General features: G+C 56.1%; 2 protein-coding genes across 7 annotated transcripts in view; both read right to left on the reverse strand.

The window, feature by feature from the left end:
- TREX2 (three prime repair exonuclease 2) lies at positions 639–2,222 on the reverse strand. Its single transcript, NM_080701.4, has 2 exons — positions 2,175–2,222; positions 639–1,661 (listed from the first exon to the last, which is right to left on the reverse strand). The coding sequence occupies exon 2, from the start codon at positions 1,594–1,596 to the stop codon at positions 886–888; it is 711 nt and encodes a 236-aa protein (NP_542432.2). The 5' UTR covers positions 1,597–1,661; positions 2,175–2,222; the 3' UTR covers positions 639–885.
- The window catches only part of HAUS7 (HAUS augmin like complex subunit 7), a 47,798-nt gene continuing 35,757 nt past the window's right edge, over positions 3,834–15,874 (reverse strand). For 2 of the 6 annotated variants that reach the window (NM_001385483.1, NM_001385481.1), the window contains 7 exons: positions 13,303–13,394; positions 12,659–12,817; positions 12,431–12,530; positions 11,708–11,932; positions 11,043–11,219; positions 10,560–10,674; positions 3,834–4,075 (listed from right to left, as the gene is read on the reverse strand). In NM_001385483.1, coding sequence (NP_001372412.1) covers positions 4,044–4,075; positions 10,560–10,674; positions 11,043–11,219; positions 11,708–11,932; positions 12,431–12,530; positions 12,659–12,817; positions 13,303–13,394 — 900 coding nt within the window. In that variant the 3' untranslated portion in view covers positions 3,834–4,043. The remainder of the gene's footprint in view (positions 4,076–10,559; positions 10,675–11,042; positions 11,220–11,707; positions 11,933–12,430; positions 12,531–12,658; positions 12,818–13,302; positions 13,395–15,874) is intronic. The other 4 variants (NR_169631.1, NR_169630.1, NR_073156.2 and 1 more) reach the window with 3 other exon arrangements.

The following is a 15,874-nucleotide window of genomic DNA, read 5'->3' on the forward strand; positions in this document are numbered from 1 at the left end:
CAGGGTGGGGCCCCTGAGGCAGGTTAGCAGGGAACCCAAAGCACAGTGCGGTGGCCAGAAGCTGCCCTCCCACCGAGCGGCCTCCTGGCCCTACGGGGACACGGGCTGCAGGATAGGCTCCCTTCCAGGGTCACCCTCACAGCACCAGCCACCCCACCTCTGCTCCGTGCACCGTCAGGGCCCTTAGCATGTACATGTACATGTGCATGCCCACATGTGGGGGCACCTCCCTTTTCCCCAGCACCCCGTTTCTTAACATTTCACCCTGTTACCACTTCACAGAGCAGGGACAGAGACTCCAGGTCCCACGGCGGGCAAGCGCTGCAGCTGAGCTTTGTGCCCAGGCAGGCGGCCGGCTCTGTGGGCTTAAGGCCCTACTCATGGCTTCTTTGGGCCTCTGGGGTGACAATGCAGATGGGCGGCAATCAGCCCACAGCCACAACCCATCAGCCCTCAGACCAACCCAAGAGCTTGACGTCTCCCTACCCAGCCACCCACGGTCCTCACCGCGAGGAGAGGCCATAGGGGGGCGGCCCTGGAGGTCTTGTGCTGGCCCCTGGCATGGCTCACCGCCTGGCCCTGCTCAGCAGGGGGTCGAGGGAGTCCAGCCCCTAGTATCTGGCCAGCTAGTCGGAGGGTGAGTAGTTGGCAATGTTTATTGGGAAACAGCAAACTCTGCTGGGCACCCAGGCCAGCCGGGAGAGCACGGCCCTGGAAGCGGGGCCTGGAGAGGAATCCAGGGCCGTATGGCTGGTCAGGCAGCCAGGGAAGGCCTGGCAGGTGCACGGACCTGAGGCTGCCCAGATAGGAGGAGCCGGGGGTGGTAGAGGCCAGCTGAACGGTGGAGGCTGGCACTGTCCATGGCACAGGAGGTGGCCCTGGTGCTCAGGCCTCCAGGCTGGGGTCATCAGGCGGCAAGTACATGGGCTCGATGTGGGCCCACCCACGGGCCTGCTCATCGGCCCAGGCGAGCAGCTCTGCGGCGCGGTGCAGGAAGATCAGGAGCAGGGTGTGCACGTCGCCCTCGGCTGAGTGGGCTGCGCTTGGCTCTGCCCGGAAGTAGCGGTGGAAGAGGCTGCCGAGGCTGTAACCCTGGCGGCCCCGGGCCCGGGTGCCGTGGCTGTGGGCGCGGTCCAGGCCCCGCAGGGCCGGCAGCGTGTCCAGGCAGACAGTGTCCCGGGGCAGGCGGGCACCCAGGCGCCGCAGCTCGGCACACAGCAGGGGGAAATCATAATCAAAGCCATTGTGGGCCACAAGGCAGATGGGCCCTGCCTGGCGGCTCAGGAAGGCCTGCAGCGTCCGCACCACGGCGCCATCAAAGCCAGCCTTCCGGCATCGCGCCAGGCCCTCACTGCTCAGGCCGGTGATCTCGCTGGCCTTGGCAGTGAAGGGGCGCTCCGGGCACATGCACAGCGTGAGCTTGTCCAGGACCCGGGGCAATACTAGGGCACCAGACTCGTCGTGCTCCGGGTTCTCCAGGGAGGAGCGGTGGACAGCAAAGAGGGACAGCTCGGCAATCTCGGGCTCCACACTGGGGAGCCCAGTGGCTTCCAGGTCCAGGAAGACAAAGGTCTCGGCCCGGGGTGCCTCGGACATGGTGATGTTCCCACGGGGATAGCAAGTCCTCAAACTGTCCGAGCGAGAGGCACAAACCCTGAGGACTGGAGAGAGGGGTTCGCCCGGGCCCTGCTGTGTACCATCCTCCCCCTAGCCAAAGCTCTGACCCTTCTGGGGCTCACTTCCTGCCACCCCCGACCACAGCACCTGTGACCTTTGGCTCTGGGAGCGTCAGCCCCACTCCTGTCACCTACTGAACAGAAAAGGCAGGCCTCAGAGCGCTCTACTGCCTGCCTCCAGCCACAGTCCCCAGCAGGGATTGGGAGAGGCAGAGGCAGCTCAGGGACCGCACCTTGGCGGGGTCCAGCCCCTTCACCGGAATGCCTTGGCTGGGAACCTGGGGCATAGCACACTGGGTCTCCAGCCCTGGAACCAGCTGCCGGGAAGCAGGCAAGCAGCCACCCGAAAGAGCCCATGCAGTGCACCCAGCTCCCGCTGGGCTCGACCTCCCCACCCTTGTCCCTGGCACACAGGTGCTGGTCCCGAGCTGGCCTCTGCCTGCTTGCCCCCAGGCTCCCGGGGAGACTGTCCTTGCCAACCCCACCACACCAGCTTACCTGGGGCGGGCACTGACCGGCTTCCTGGGCTTCTGGGCACCTGTCGCCACACAGGCTGCTCTAGGCGGCCTTTAATCAGCGGCCGCAGCCCGCCCCCAGCTGCCTGTTGGCCAACAATGAGGCCTGGGGCCTCAGGACCTGCGCAGCCGGCTCGCTCGCCACCCCCTCGCTAGCTCACAGCCACTGAGACACACGCCCCGTGTTTACAAATTAGGAAGCAGGCCCCGAGCTCTTCACAGGCACGGGGAGGAAGCCAGAGTGGTGCGGAAGGCAGTAACCTCCACCTAGCCAGGCTGTGGCTGCCAGGCCTGGCAGGCCTGGGGTCAATGCCTCCCCCATGCTGGGGCCAATGCCTCCCCCATGCTGGGGCCAGTTACACAAAGGCAACAGGTCCTCTTTGCCAGGCCTCAGTCTCCCCGTCACTGGAGATCAGGTGCCGCTCGTGGGGATGAAGCGAGCTCTGGAGTGTGACCAAGGTGCCCACACATGCCGTGCTCAGCCTCCAAAGGGGAAGGGGTGCTCCCCCAAAACCTAGGGATGGGGCAGCCTCGGGAGATGCTATCTGCTTTAAGGACGTCGCTTCATCATGTCTACCGTGCACCTAACAGTGGCTGCTGGGGAAGGAAGGGAGGTGGGCCTGGCCCGGGAGCTGTGCAGGCCGCAGCTGAGCTAATGCTTCCTCCACCACAGATAAGCAACGTTAGGGGGTGGGCCAGGAGCGCCGGGACTACAGGAGGAGTGAAGCCCAGCCCCTCGGACCCCAGGCTCAGGGACCTGCCCTGTCTATCCCGCTCCAGGCAAAGGGCACCAGGTCCTTCCCGGTCCTGCGAGCAGTGGCGCCCTGAAGACCTCATTCTGGAGCAAGAGACAACAGCCCTTGATGGTGGGTGCACTGCAGGGCCAGCCCCATGCTGGGGGCACAGAGAGGTGACCAAGAGGAGTCCCTTGGCCTATAAATCAGGTGGTGCACCTGCACCATGGTGACCACAGGCCTGCCCGGCCTCCCACCTCTCACAGTGGTGGCTGGGGGATGCCTCAGGCGACTGGGATGGAGGGGGGTCTGGCACCTGGCTCCTCCTGGCCTCCTTGCCTTGTGTGCCCACAGGGACCTTGGGGAAGCAAAGGAGATGGTGCCAGGAGGGAGCAGGGTGGGGCGGGCAGCAGCAGGTACAATGGCCCCAAGGAGGCAGAGGCCCTACCAGTCACGCCTGTTCCGGTACTCACAGGGAGGGAGGCAGCTGTGACAGGCACACTGCTCAGGGAGATACTGGGTCACCCTGGGAAGCCCAGACAGCATCTTCCTGGACAACCAGTCAGGCTGAATTCCCCAGCCCAGAGCTGAGCGCCCAGCCAGGGAGGAGCAGGAAACTGGTACCCCGCGGGGGATCCAGGGGCACTCAAGGAGGGCGGCTGAGGGGTGCGTCTCGCACAGGACCCTAAGGCCAGCCGGGGGAGGCGACAGTGGGTTCTCTGCTTTCAAGTGGCTGGCAGCAGCAGGGAGGAGTGGAGCCACAGGAAGAGGACGCAGCCCAGGCCCGCCAAGATGACAGGAGGGCCGCCGCCAGCCTGCCCAGACCTGGGCCACCTGAGCAGCTCAGGACAAGGGGAAGGAGAGAGACATAGAGCTGAGGAAGCAGAAAGCAGGCTGGAGGCAACTGCTTAGAAACCAAGGCTTTCTTTGTGTCCAAGTCAAACCGCCCGTCTGTCTCTCCCTCCCCAAAGGGGCCAAAGGTCCCTGCCTAGAGCACAACGTGGGGCTGCAACGGCTTCTGCTGCCACAATCATCCATCCTCGGCCAACTCGATCTTGGGAGAGGGCTTCCTGCCCGCCCCATCCTGTGCTTTGGCGTAGGCCATCACTGAAGACTTTCTATTTCTCCATTAGTTCATTCATCTTGGTAGCTGCAGAGGAAAGAAAAGAAACCAAAAGGATGGTGGGAGTGTAAACTAGTTCCACCATTGTGGAAGTCAGTGTGGCGATTCCTCAGGGATCTAGAACTAGAAATACCATTTGACCCAGCCATCCCATTACTGGGTATATACCCAAAGGACTATAAATCATGCTGCTATACAGACACATGCACACGTATGTTTATTGCAGCACTATTCACAATAGCAAAGACTTGGAACCAACCCAAATGTCCAACACTGATAGACTGGATTAAGAAAATATGGCACATATACACCATGGAATACTACGCGGCCCATAAAAAAAGATGAGTTCATGTCCTTTGTAGGGACATGGATGAAGCTGGAAACCATCATTCTCAGCAAACTATCGCAAGGACAAAAAACCAAACACCGCATGTTCTCACTCATAGGTGGGAACTGAACAATGAGAACACTTGGACACAGGAAGGGGAACATCACACACTGGGGCCTGTTGTGGGGTGGGGGGAGGGAGGAGGGATAGCATTAGGAGATATACCTAATGTAAATGACGAGTTAATGGGTGCAGCACACCAACGTGGCACATGTATACATATGTAACTAACCTGCACGTTGTGCACATGTACCCTAGAACTTAAAGTATAATAAAAATATATATATATAAAATAAATAAATAAAATAAACAAATAAATAAATAGAAAAGAAACCAACAGGAAAGCGAGCCTGGCGCAAGAGGCGAGGTGCCTCCTGCCCACCACTCAAGGCACATGTCCTCAGCTGATCCTCCTTGAGCCCCAGGCACCACCAGGATGGCAGGGAAGGGACAGGCACTGCCGAGCTGGGAGCTGCTCAGGCTCTGTGGGGACCAGGCCAGCAGCTTGGGAGCCCTGGGCTGGGTCACACCGACCGCAGCACAGTTCCGAGACCCAGGCCAGGGTCTGTTGACCCGGCTGTGCCCCCGCCCACCTGCCCCCTGCCCCCCAAGCCCCAGGGGCAGCACATGGCACACAGTGAGGAGGCAGGGGCTGTCCTGACTTCAGTGGCACGTTCAGTATTAACCAGATGGAGAACACTGCACACACAATAAACCCAATCACACAGACAGCCCTAAGCCTTGGCTGCCCGGCCCAGTGGCGACCGTGGTGGCTGCGCTGACCTTATCTGCCATGACCACATCTGCCTCTCAGTTGCCAACCCTAGACCATGGCCATCATCCCCCTCCCCCAGCAGACAGAGGAGGACACAGCCCCTCACCTGCCCTGCCTGTCCGCTCCCCATCCGTGGCCCCACTGTCAGCTAGACTTTGCCTTTTACATGTTGAAGTCATTAGCATTGACATTAAGTGCTGTGAACCCTGAATCTGTCATCCTCTGCCCATCCCGAGGGTGACTCTGAAGCTCAGGAATCCTGGGGTGTGCCTCGGGGTGACACCGAGCTGGGGAATGTGCTCAGCCCGCCTGGAATTGCGCCCCAGGACCCTCTCCACTCGCCATCAGCTTCCAGTGGCATCCCAGCAGAGGGGCTTCCTGCCGCAATGCGCACTGCTCTAGACTGTCTTCCTAGGCTCCGGACTGTGTCCCTCGTGTGGCATCTGCCCTTATCAAATCGTCTAGACCTCCATCCCGGCCTTCCTGCTCTGCCCTCACTCTTGGTGCAGGGCTTGGCAGGGTCCAGAGCCCAAGGCCGGGTGTGCAGGGCCCTCAGTGCTTGTAAGGCATCCTGGCTGCTCCTCTGAGGCCACAGGCTGTCTCTCTTGAAGCTTTGGCCCCAGCCCTTGGCCCCTGTACTCCAGATGGCAGGAGGTGGGTTCCATCTACCCTGTGCTCGGCGCCTGCACTCACCTGGCTTGTACTGTGTGCCCACCTCCTCCGGAGCCCTGCCCTTCATCTCCCCTGTCCCCTGCCCTGGAGACCCTGTGCCTGGCTGGGGCCTGTGTGATGCTGATCTTTGTGCTGGTTTTTCTCTCTGTTTTCTCTCTTCTTAGAGATCCCAGCCTCACTTCGTTTCTAGTCTCTTTGTGGCTGGGTTTTCACAGCTGTCCAAGCATGTCTGGATGTCGCACTGAGTGTATTCAGTGGTGTCGGAAAGTCCTTCAGGTCAGATTTCCTGCTCATCCAGGGCTTCCTTCTCTCCTGCATGGGGCTGCTTTTCGAGCCACAGGGGCTGGGAAGAGGATCTGGGTAGCTGCCACTGCCCCTGGTCTGCTGTGGTGGAGCCGTTGCCTGTGGGGTCTCTCTCTGGAGGACAGTTTGGAGGAGTTCCATGGAGGCGAGGCAGGGATCAGCTCTTGCCCCATGGACCCTCAGAGGCTGCAAAAAGGTAGGTTTCACCCGGGCTGCCGCCAGCCACATCAGCCACATCAAGAGACGAGCTGGGAGCCGCTCAGGCTCTGTGTGAGCCGGGCCACCAGCTTGGGAGCTGGTTTGCTTATTCATTTCCATCACTTTCTTCACAGAAGAACAGGCTAGGGTCTCGCCGGGGAGGTGGGCCTCTCCAGACCTGCTTCACCTGTGCCCTCTGCTTCCATCTGCTCACCACTGCCCTGTCCCTGGCACCCCGCTGCCCCTTGGGCTGTCCTCTAGGCTGCCACCTTCCCCGCCCGCTGAGCCCGTCACCACTGCCGGGGTTGGTGGCATCTCTCCACTGTTGGTACCCTCAACTCTCCTGTCCCATTCTTGCACTGACAGCATTGCTTCGGTTTCTAAATACATTGATGTTTTCATGGCAGTGAGGTTTCAGGAAGCCTGGGGGGCGACTCCTGGTGTGTGGTGCTGATCCACAGTGCCAAGGCCCTCCCAACTCACATGAGGCCATGCCCCCAGCAAGAGCCCAGAAGGCACACTGGCTGCTCCTCACTTCATAGGTGGTGCCGCACCTCCAACAGAGCCTGGCTGCGGGCATGCAGATCGCTGGGAGGTGAAACAGCACAGAAACACGGCCTTCCACAGCGGGAGGAGGGCCATCGAGACCACGGCCCTCAAGGGGTCAGATGGGAAACGGGACAAATAAAGAACTGTCCCGAGTGGCCTTTGGCGTGGATTTGATGCTGACCCTTTCTCTGGTGTGTCCAGACACTAAGAATTCATCTCAAGCCACATCAGGATGCTGAACTGATGGGAGCTGAGTTGAGAGCCCCTAGAGAGGCCGATGCCCGCCGTAGGCCTGCTCCCCTGGCGTCTCTCCAGACCCCCAAAGTGGCCGGGGCTCAAGGGTGAAGAGACACTTCCCTGTACACAACGCACTGCCCAGTTCACACGGCCTGGATGTAAAGGGTGCCTTTCTGGTAAGAACAGATACTACACTTGATCTTAGCCAAGAAGCGATAAGGGGCCTTTCTGAAAGGCAAGACCTGCCACCAGTCCTATGGTGCCACAGTCACAGGTGAGATGGCACACTGTTGCGAATACCAATGATCATTATAAGAATGATGGCATAGATTATAAGCAGTTTACTAACAGCAATTATAAAAACTGGGAAGAGAGTCATAGTGACTGGTGATTAGGATAAACGCTATAATACATTTTAAAGTGGAGGGTTCTGCTGCAGTTCAATTGGCAAGAAGAGGCTCCTCAGTGCCTGGTATACATGGGGTAGTTATGTGCCGAGGCCAAGAGCAGTGAGAAGCCTGGCTCTCCGAGGAGACGGCTGGCTGGAGGGTTCATCCAAAGACAGTCTCCAAAACTAGGGCTCAGAGGCTATGGACCTGAAACCACTACTTGGGGGTGCAACAGTGGAAAACATTTACAGCAAATGCTTTAGCTGCTGCTGCCTGAGGCAGTGCATAATAGCCGGGGCAAACAAGAGACTAAACAAGAAGCTCAGGAGAGGCTGGAAAATCAGATGTCCACAAAGGCTCTGGAAAGCTCTGGCACAGTCCTGGGAATCTGGAAGACCATGGGTGTGTGCCGGGCTGTGAAAATCCCAGAGAGAGAGACCTGAGAAGGCCCTGATCTCTCACCTCTGGCTGACCTTGAGGCTCTGAGCAAGCAAGATGTGAAGGAGAAAGAGCTGTCAACTACCTGGCTGAGTGTTGATGAAAAACATGAATGACGACACATTTACAAAGCTCAAAAAGCTCCCAATGGAATAAATTCACAGTGATTCACACGAAGACAGATTATAATCAAACTGTCCAAAGCCAGGGACCAACAGAATTTTGAAAAGAAAGTGAAGAGACTCATCATATACCAGCTGGCTTCGCATCAGAAGCTTTGGCAGCCAGAGGACACTGAAATGACACATTCAAAGTACAAAAGAATTCTATATTCAGCAAAACTATCCTTCAAAGATGAAGGAGAAATGAAGACATTCCCACATAAAAAATGAGGGAGTTCATCACTAGTGAGCCTTCCCTACAGGAAATACTAAGGGTAGGCCTCCGGGATGGCATGGAAGGACACTAGACAGTAACACAAATCCACATGAAGAAATAAAGAACTCCAACAAAGGTAACAACATCGATAAATATAAAAATGTGTACCAATGTACACATTTAATACAGCTTCATTCTAATGGGCAAAGTTTTTGTATACAACTGAAATTAGTTTGGTAATACACTGTTTTCAGTTAGGATGCTAAATGCAATTCTAAGGACAACCACTTAAAAATAACTTTTAAAAGAAGTGTTAAAGAACCAACAAGGGAATTAAAATGGTGTACCCACAAATACATTTTGCTTTAATAGGAGGCAGTTTCTGTATACTATTGAAATTCATTTGGTACTAGACTGTTTTCAGTTAGGATGCTAACTGTAATTCTAAAGCCAACCACTTAAAAAATAACTTTAAAAAACAGAGTTAAAGAGGCTGGGCGCGGTGGCTCATACCTATAATCCCAGTACTTTGGGAGGCCGAGACAGGTGGATCACCTGAGGTCAGCAGTTCGAGACCAGCCCGGCCAACATGGCAAAACCCCATCTGTACTTAAAAATACAAAAATTAGTCAGGCGTGGTGGTGAGTGCCTGTAACCCCAGCTACCCGGGAGGCTGAGGCAGAATTGCTTCAACCCAGGAGGTGGAGGTTGCAGTGAGCTGAGACTGCACTCCAGCCTGGGTGACAGAGCGAGACTCCATCTCAAAAAGAAAAAGAAAAATACGTTCACACAAAAGACTTACGATGTACATAGCCAAAAAGTAGAAACCCACATCTACCAACTACAACAAAATGTGGGATATCCACACAATCAAATATTATTCAACCATGAAAAGGAATGAACTACATGGATAACCCTTACAAAACTTTATGCTCAGTGAAAGACACCAGTCACAAAAGGCCACACATTGTTATTCCATTTATAGGAAATGTCCAGCACAGGCAAATCCATAGAGACAGACAGCGTCTCTATGACAGTGGTTGCCAGGAGTTGAGGCTAGGGAGGGATGGGGAATGGCTGCTAATCATATGGGGTTTCTTCTGGGGGTGATAAAAATGTTCTGGACTCAGATAGTGATAAGAGGATGGTTACACAACTCTGTGAATATCCTAAAGACCATGAAATTGTACACTTTTAAAAGGGTAAATTTTATGTTATATGAACTTGAATTCAGTAGAGCTGTTATTTAAAAAATAAATTAGAAGAGGTAGAAAACTGGCTTTACCTTCTTTCTTTGGGTTTATTTTGCTGTTTATTTTCTAGCCCCCTGAAACGTGGTATTAGTGCAGGGATAGCAAAAAAAAAAAGGAATAGAATGGAACAGAGGAGAACCCAGAAACCCACACATAACATATGGATACTTAATAATTACCAAGAGTGATGGTATTGCAGATCAATGAGAGAAAGAGTGATTTCCAGTCAATGGTGCTGCGACAAATGTGTATCCATATAGGATACGAGGAAACTGGATCCCCACCTCACTCCATATGCAAAAATCAACTCTGAGAAGATGGCCCTCATTATAAGCCTTTTCCCATTTTCCTTAAGTAACTTTTTTTTTTTTTTTTTTAAGACAGGGTCTGGCTGTCACCCAGGCTGGAGTACTGTGGCGTGACCTCAGCTCACTGCAACTTCCCTCTCATGGGCTCAAGTGATCCTCCCACCTCAGCCTCCCAAGTAGCTGAGACTGCAGGTGCACGCCACCATGCCCAGCTAGTTTCTGTATTTTAGTAGAAACGTGGTTTTGCCATGTTGCCCAGGCTGATCTCTATGCTCAAAGTGGTTCATCCTCCTCTGCTTCCCAAAGTGCTGGGATTACAGGCATGAGCCACCGCGCCTGGCCCAAGTTACATTTTTAATTGTCAAATACTATTCCATTCAGGCATTTGTTATCATTTGCTTCACATTTTCTATTACTGAGTTATCTCAATTTTCTACGATGAGCGTTTTCATTTGATAATCCGCTGAAAGCATTTTTTCAAGTGAAGGAAAACATGCATTAGAAAATGAAAAACAAAAGAAGGGGCCGGTCCCCAAATGCTCCTCCAGGGCTAGTGGAGCACAGAAAAGGAAGCCTGTGCGTGGGGCAGCCCCAGGCAGAGGGCCAGGTGGGCAGCCACGTACCTAGACTCATGACGGAGCTGCTGCCACCCCAGCAGATCTGCTCGCCTTGCTGCTTCTTCACGGTCTCCACGGCCTTCGCAGAGGTGTCAGCAACTGCCATGACCACTTGCAGCAGCTGGGGAGGGAGGGAGGGAGGGAGGGAGGGAGGGAGGGAGCGAGCAGGCACTAAATGCCGCTGGTCTCACGTAGCGACGGCATCTCCTGCTTCCCACCCCCACTCACACTGATCAGGTGGCATTCACCTGAAAGACAGCCAAGGGTGAGGGACAGAACTCCCAGCGGGGAAGTCACCAATCAGAGTTCTCGGACCTAAGTCCCCTCTTCCTGGCCCAGTGGGGATGCCACACTCTCATGTCGCTCTGGCAACCCTCGATGCCTAGGGACATGCCAGCCAGCACTGCGTGTCCTCCCAGCCCCAGCAATTGGCAAGGGGGGAAAATAAATGTCCCAAGAAAAATGGACAGGAGAGGGCTGTGGCCTCACCATCCCTGATCGAGGGGTCTCACAGGACCAGCCAGTCAGAGGTTGGAAGGCTCGGAGCCTCTCGCTTAGAAAACCAAAATGAACATCACGGAATCCTTGAGCCAAGGGCAGAGTTGCGCACGTGGGAACTGTAGTCATCGTAACTAAAGCCGGCTTTTTAGGTTGGCCTCTGGGGATCTCACATGTGGAACAACGAAACAAGCAAACATTGACGAGCCCACTTCCTCTCATCCTGTCTGAGCAGGCTCATGGGCAGACAGGCAGGCATTTGTCTGCCTGTCTGGCACAGTTCTTGGTCATCCACAAGAATGAATGGACCTTGCTATTTTGGAGCGTAACGTGACAACAGTGCGGCCAACACAGGAACAGCACCTGGAGGCTGGGACACGCAGGACCCCACACCGGATCTGGGCCTAGCTAGTGCCTGCTAAGGTGGGCAGGTCCAAGGACCAGAAGCAGCACCTCCCCAGCCCACTGAGGGGCCCAGAGCCCTGCCACGCCACTGGCCAGCAGGGAGCCCAGCCCAGCCCCTCCCAGCCCCTGGTCCTGCCCTGTGGTCCCTTGTCAGGGGCTGCTGAGGCCCCTGAGCCCAAGCAGGATATAAGCTCTCAGTCTGAGTGAACAGGGGAGGGGGCGGTTAGAGGGGAGGGGAAGGGCACCCTTACTTGGCTGTAGGAAGTCAGATTCTGGTGCGTGGCCTGGATGATGGGGCCGCACGGGTGGAGGTCAGGGCCTGGGCGCTGGCAGCACTCGCCCAGCTCGTCGTCGTAGACTTGGAGAAAAGCCAAGATTAGCTGGTGGAAGTCGGAAGTGACCAGACGCAGCTTCTGGTCTAGGGTGCTGATGTCGGCTGCGCCCGCAGCAGCCCCTTGCTCATGCTGTGCAAAGTACTGCAAAGCCAGAGGCAGAGTCCCTTGAGGCTGCCCTGCCCACCAGCCAGGCTGCCACCGGCCCTCACCTCAGACACTGCACACCCAGGGCGAGGAAGAAAGCTTTCAGAAACAGGGACACAGGGGAGCTGTACCGAGCGACTCAGGCCAGAGCAAGACCTTCTGGCTCCCAGCCTCAGCCCCCTCACTCACTCTCCTGTGGGCCCCGGTCTCCTCCGCAATCAAACAGAGGCCAGGCCAAGGGCTGCCAGGAGGACCACGTGCGGCAAGGCACATGGCAATGTGCTCAGGCGTGGGCACCACCCAATACCTGAGGCTGATCCCTTCCCCCAGCCACGGGACCCACCTCTCACCTCCCCGCGGACTGAGCACCACAGTATTCTAGAACATGTCAGGCCCGGTGCACAGGCAACCTCGCCTAAGCCTCACGTGCTGAGGGAGGTGACAAAGCAGGGCCTTGCCTCCAAGCAACCCCCTCCCAGGAGCTAGCACCCTCACCTCCGTTCTAAGCGCGTGCAACTTGGCAGCACTCTCCTGCAGCTGCCTGGCAAGCTCCGCCAGCTTCTCCTCCTCCTCGGACTTGGCAGAGGCACTGGCCCTGCAGGGAGAGAAAGGGAACACTTGCAACTCACCGCTGCCAGGGGTGTCTGCAGTAACAGAACCAAGCAGCCTGGGGCTGGGACAGGAGGCCAGGGTGCTGCCACTGAGGCCTCCAGGAGCACGTACCACTGCCAGTCATCACTCTGCTTGTTGAGGAGGGGCTGCATGTCCAGGGGCCACGGGTCGCACTCTGGATTCAGGAGCATCTGCAGGTGGGGGCTAGAGAAGAGCTCCCCCAGCAAGGCCTCGTTCTTCTCCCTGGTGTCCTCGAAGTGCTCCATCAGGCTGCAAAGGCAGCCCCCAGGGCCACACCGTCACAGGCCAGAGCACTCGCCCAGCAGGCCCTCAGCCCCACAGGGAAGGCCCCAGAAGCACATCGGGGCCAGGCACAGAGGCCAGGACAAGCCCCACCGCGCAGAATCCTGCCCCACCTGTCTGCCCTGGCTCCTCCATTTTTGCCCGCCTACCTACCCACCCATGGAGCACCCTAGGTGCTCACCCTCCTCTGTGCCTGGCCCGTCTGCTCTGAGGCCCACATCCCACCTTCATACTCACCCCCGGGGCCTTGGGCAACAGCCAGCACCCTTGGGACACAGCTGCCCCTTGCCCGTATGCTGCCCGGCCCCTGATTGGCCAGCCAGATCCCCAAGTGGGGTGTCACACCCCAGCCAGCATCAGAGGGGGAGTGACACCCCAGCCCCTACCAGCTCCAGAACTAGGACCAAGAGAAGCCCGTCAATACTGCCCACCTGGGCCATCCACACCTTTACCTCGAGCAACTGGAGCACCCAATGGTCAGGCTCCGGATGGTATCGAGCAACTGGTCCATGAAGTGTAGCTGCTTCTGGGCGCAGGCACAGCCCTGGGCAAGGAAGACCACAGACATTCACTGGCTCCATCTAAGCCAGGCCAAGGCCAGCTGTCCCCAGTGCCCCTGCCCCCACATGCCACCCATGCCAGGAGCCAGGGGAAAGGAGGGGCCTGGCCCATCAACGACCCTGTGCCTGCCCAGCAATGTCTTGGACTAGCAAGTGCTCCCTGCCTGGTCCCTGCCTTGGGCTGTAATGATGCTGGGACCACACGCCAGAACGGGCTGAGCACTGCAGAAACATACAGGAGCATATGTGTCTGTCGTGCAGCCGACAGCATGGCTTGCTGGGTGGGCAGGCAGCACACAGCAGGGCCTGCTATGACAGAACACAGCCCACAGGGACACCTCCAGGACAAGGCCTGTTCTCCTCCAAGGATCGCCGTCCCAGCTGGGAACAGATGAAGCCGACAGGATGGGGCTGAGAGGTGGCCTGCTTTCCAGCCAGGGGACTGGCGTTCCAGCCCGGAAGGCCCAGGCTCCAGGAGCAGCAGCTCCTGCGGGGCTGAATTAGTCCCCCACTCGCCGGAAAGGTGAGTGAGATACCCATGGGAGCCACCCAGCCAGAAGCTCAAGGCTTCCGGAAGCACAGCTCTTTCCTCCTTCCAGAAAAGGGAAGAGGATCGCTGAGGAGCCCCAGGACCTGAGAGGCTACGCCTGCTCCAGAAAGCCCCCAGCCAGGCCTACTTCTTGAGCTCTGAACATCCTAACCACGTCAAAAGGGTCAACTCCATGGCATGAAATGCCACCGGGAGTGCCTTGGCCCTTTCACTGTGGCCTGTGCCTTCAGCGCCAACTTGTCACACAAATGCTCCTTGGCGGGCTTGGGGAAGCTGCCAGAGCAGCTGGCTGAGCCAGTCCGTTCTGGTGCATTCCTCAGAAAAGTGTGTGGCAGGCGGGGGCAATGATAAGGTAAAATTGGCAACACTGCCAATAGCATAGAGCCTGGGCATCACCATGACATCCAACTGAGGCAGATTCAGGAGCACAGGTGCGAGAAGCTCAGGGCACCCAGGACAGGGGCGATGGCACTGGGAGGGCTCACTGCCTGCACGGTGGTGCTGACCACAGTCATGTGCTCCAAGGTGATCTGGGGGCAGCGGGCTGCCACGTCCCCACAGCACTGACCTGGCCTATCTACATGCTGCACAGCAATGGAATCATACACTACCAAGCATGAGGCTGGCGAGGATCACGCGTGTCCCAGCGCAGATGAGTAGTTGATTTCCTTTTTATTGCTAGTTAGTTTATACATTCACCAGCTGATGGACATTTGGGCTCTTTCCACTTTCAGGCCATTAAGAATAACACTTCTATGGACGCTCAGGTACAGGATTTTGTGTGCATGTATATTTTCACTTCTCCTGGGTGGACAGCTGGGAGTGGAACTGCTGGGTCACGGGGTAACTGTGTTGACATCTTTCAGGAACTGCCAGACTTTTCCATAACAGCTGCACCATTTTATATTCCTACAGCAATGCAGAAGGGTTCCAATCTCTCCTCATCCTGGCCAACACTGGGATTTTCCTTTTTTTTCTTAAACAACAGGGTCTTGCTCTGTCGCTCAGGCTGGAGTGCAATGGTACCATCATAGCTCACTGAAGCCTTGAACTCCTGGGCTCTATGTGATCCTCCCGCCTCAGCTTCCCAAGTGGCTGGGACTACAGCAGTGTGCCATCATGTCTGGCTAATTTTTTACTTTTTGTAGAGACGGGGTCTTACGATGTTGTCTGGGCTGGTCTTAAACTCCTGAGCTCAAGCGATCCTCCTGCCTCGGCCTCCCAAAGTGCTGGGATTACAGGCATGAGCCACCAGGCCCGGCCTCCTTTTCTTTTTTGATTCTAGCCATCCTAGTGTGTGTGAAGTGGCATCTCATGATGATTTTGCTTTGTGTTCCTCTAATGGCCCGTGATGCTGGCCATCTTTGCTTGTGCTTCTTGGCCATTTGTTCATCTTCTTCGGAGAAACGTCTATTCGGACACTTTGTCCATTTTTGAACTGGGTTTTCTGTCTTTCTTATTGAGTTGTAAGGGTTGTTAATAGATTCGGGATACAAGTCCCTCATCAGTCATGTGATTTACAACTATTTACCGCCTTTCTGTAGGTTTTTCTGTTTCTTCACTTTCTTCATGGTGTCCTTTGGTGGACCAAAGTGTTTCATTTTAATGAAGTCCAATTGATCTGTTTTTTCTTTTGTCGCTTATGTTTTTAGTGTCAAATTGATGACTTTATAAAACATCACTATGAACACCTGGATTTGGGCATACGTGAAGGGTGCCTGTCTACTGCAGCCCCTATGCTTACGAGGCTCCCACTGGCCCCTCTCTGACTATTGCTAGTTGGCTCCTGAGTCCCTCGGACGTGACCCAAGTCTTGGGTGACTGCTGCTCTCTGTGTTTCCGCCTGCATTACAGCCGGGGTGTCATATTGTTCTAGGCATTTTCAGGGCACAAGATAAGGAAATACATATATAT

Source organism: Homo sapiens, chromosome X (genome assembly GCF_000001405.40).
Source record: "Homo sapiens chromosome X, GRCh38.p14 Primary Assembly".
NCBI classification, from domain to species: domain Eukaryota; kingdom Metazoa; phylum Chordata; class Mammalia; order Primates; family Hominidae; genus Homo; species Homo sapiens.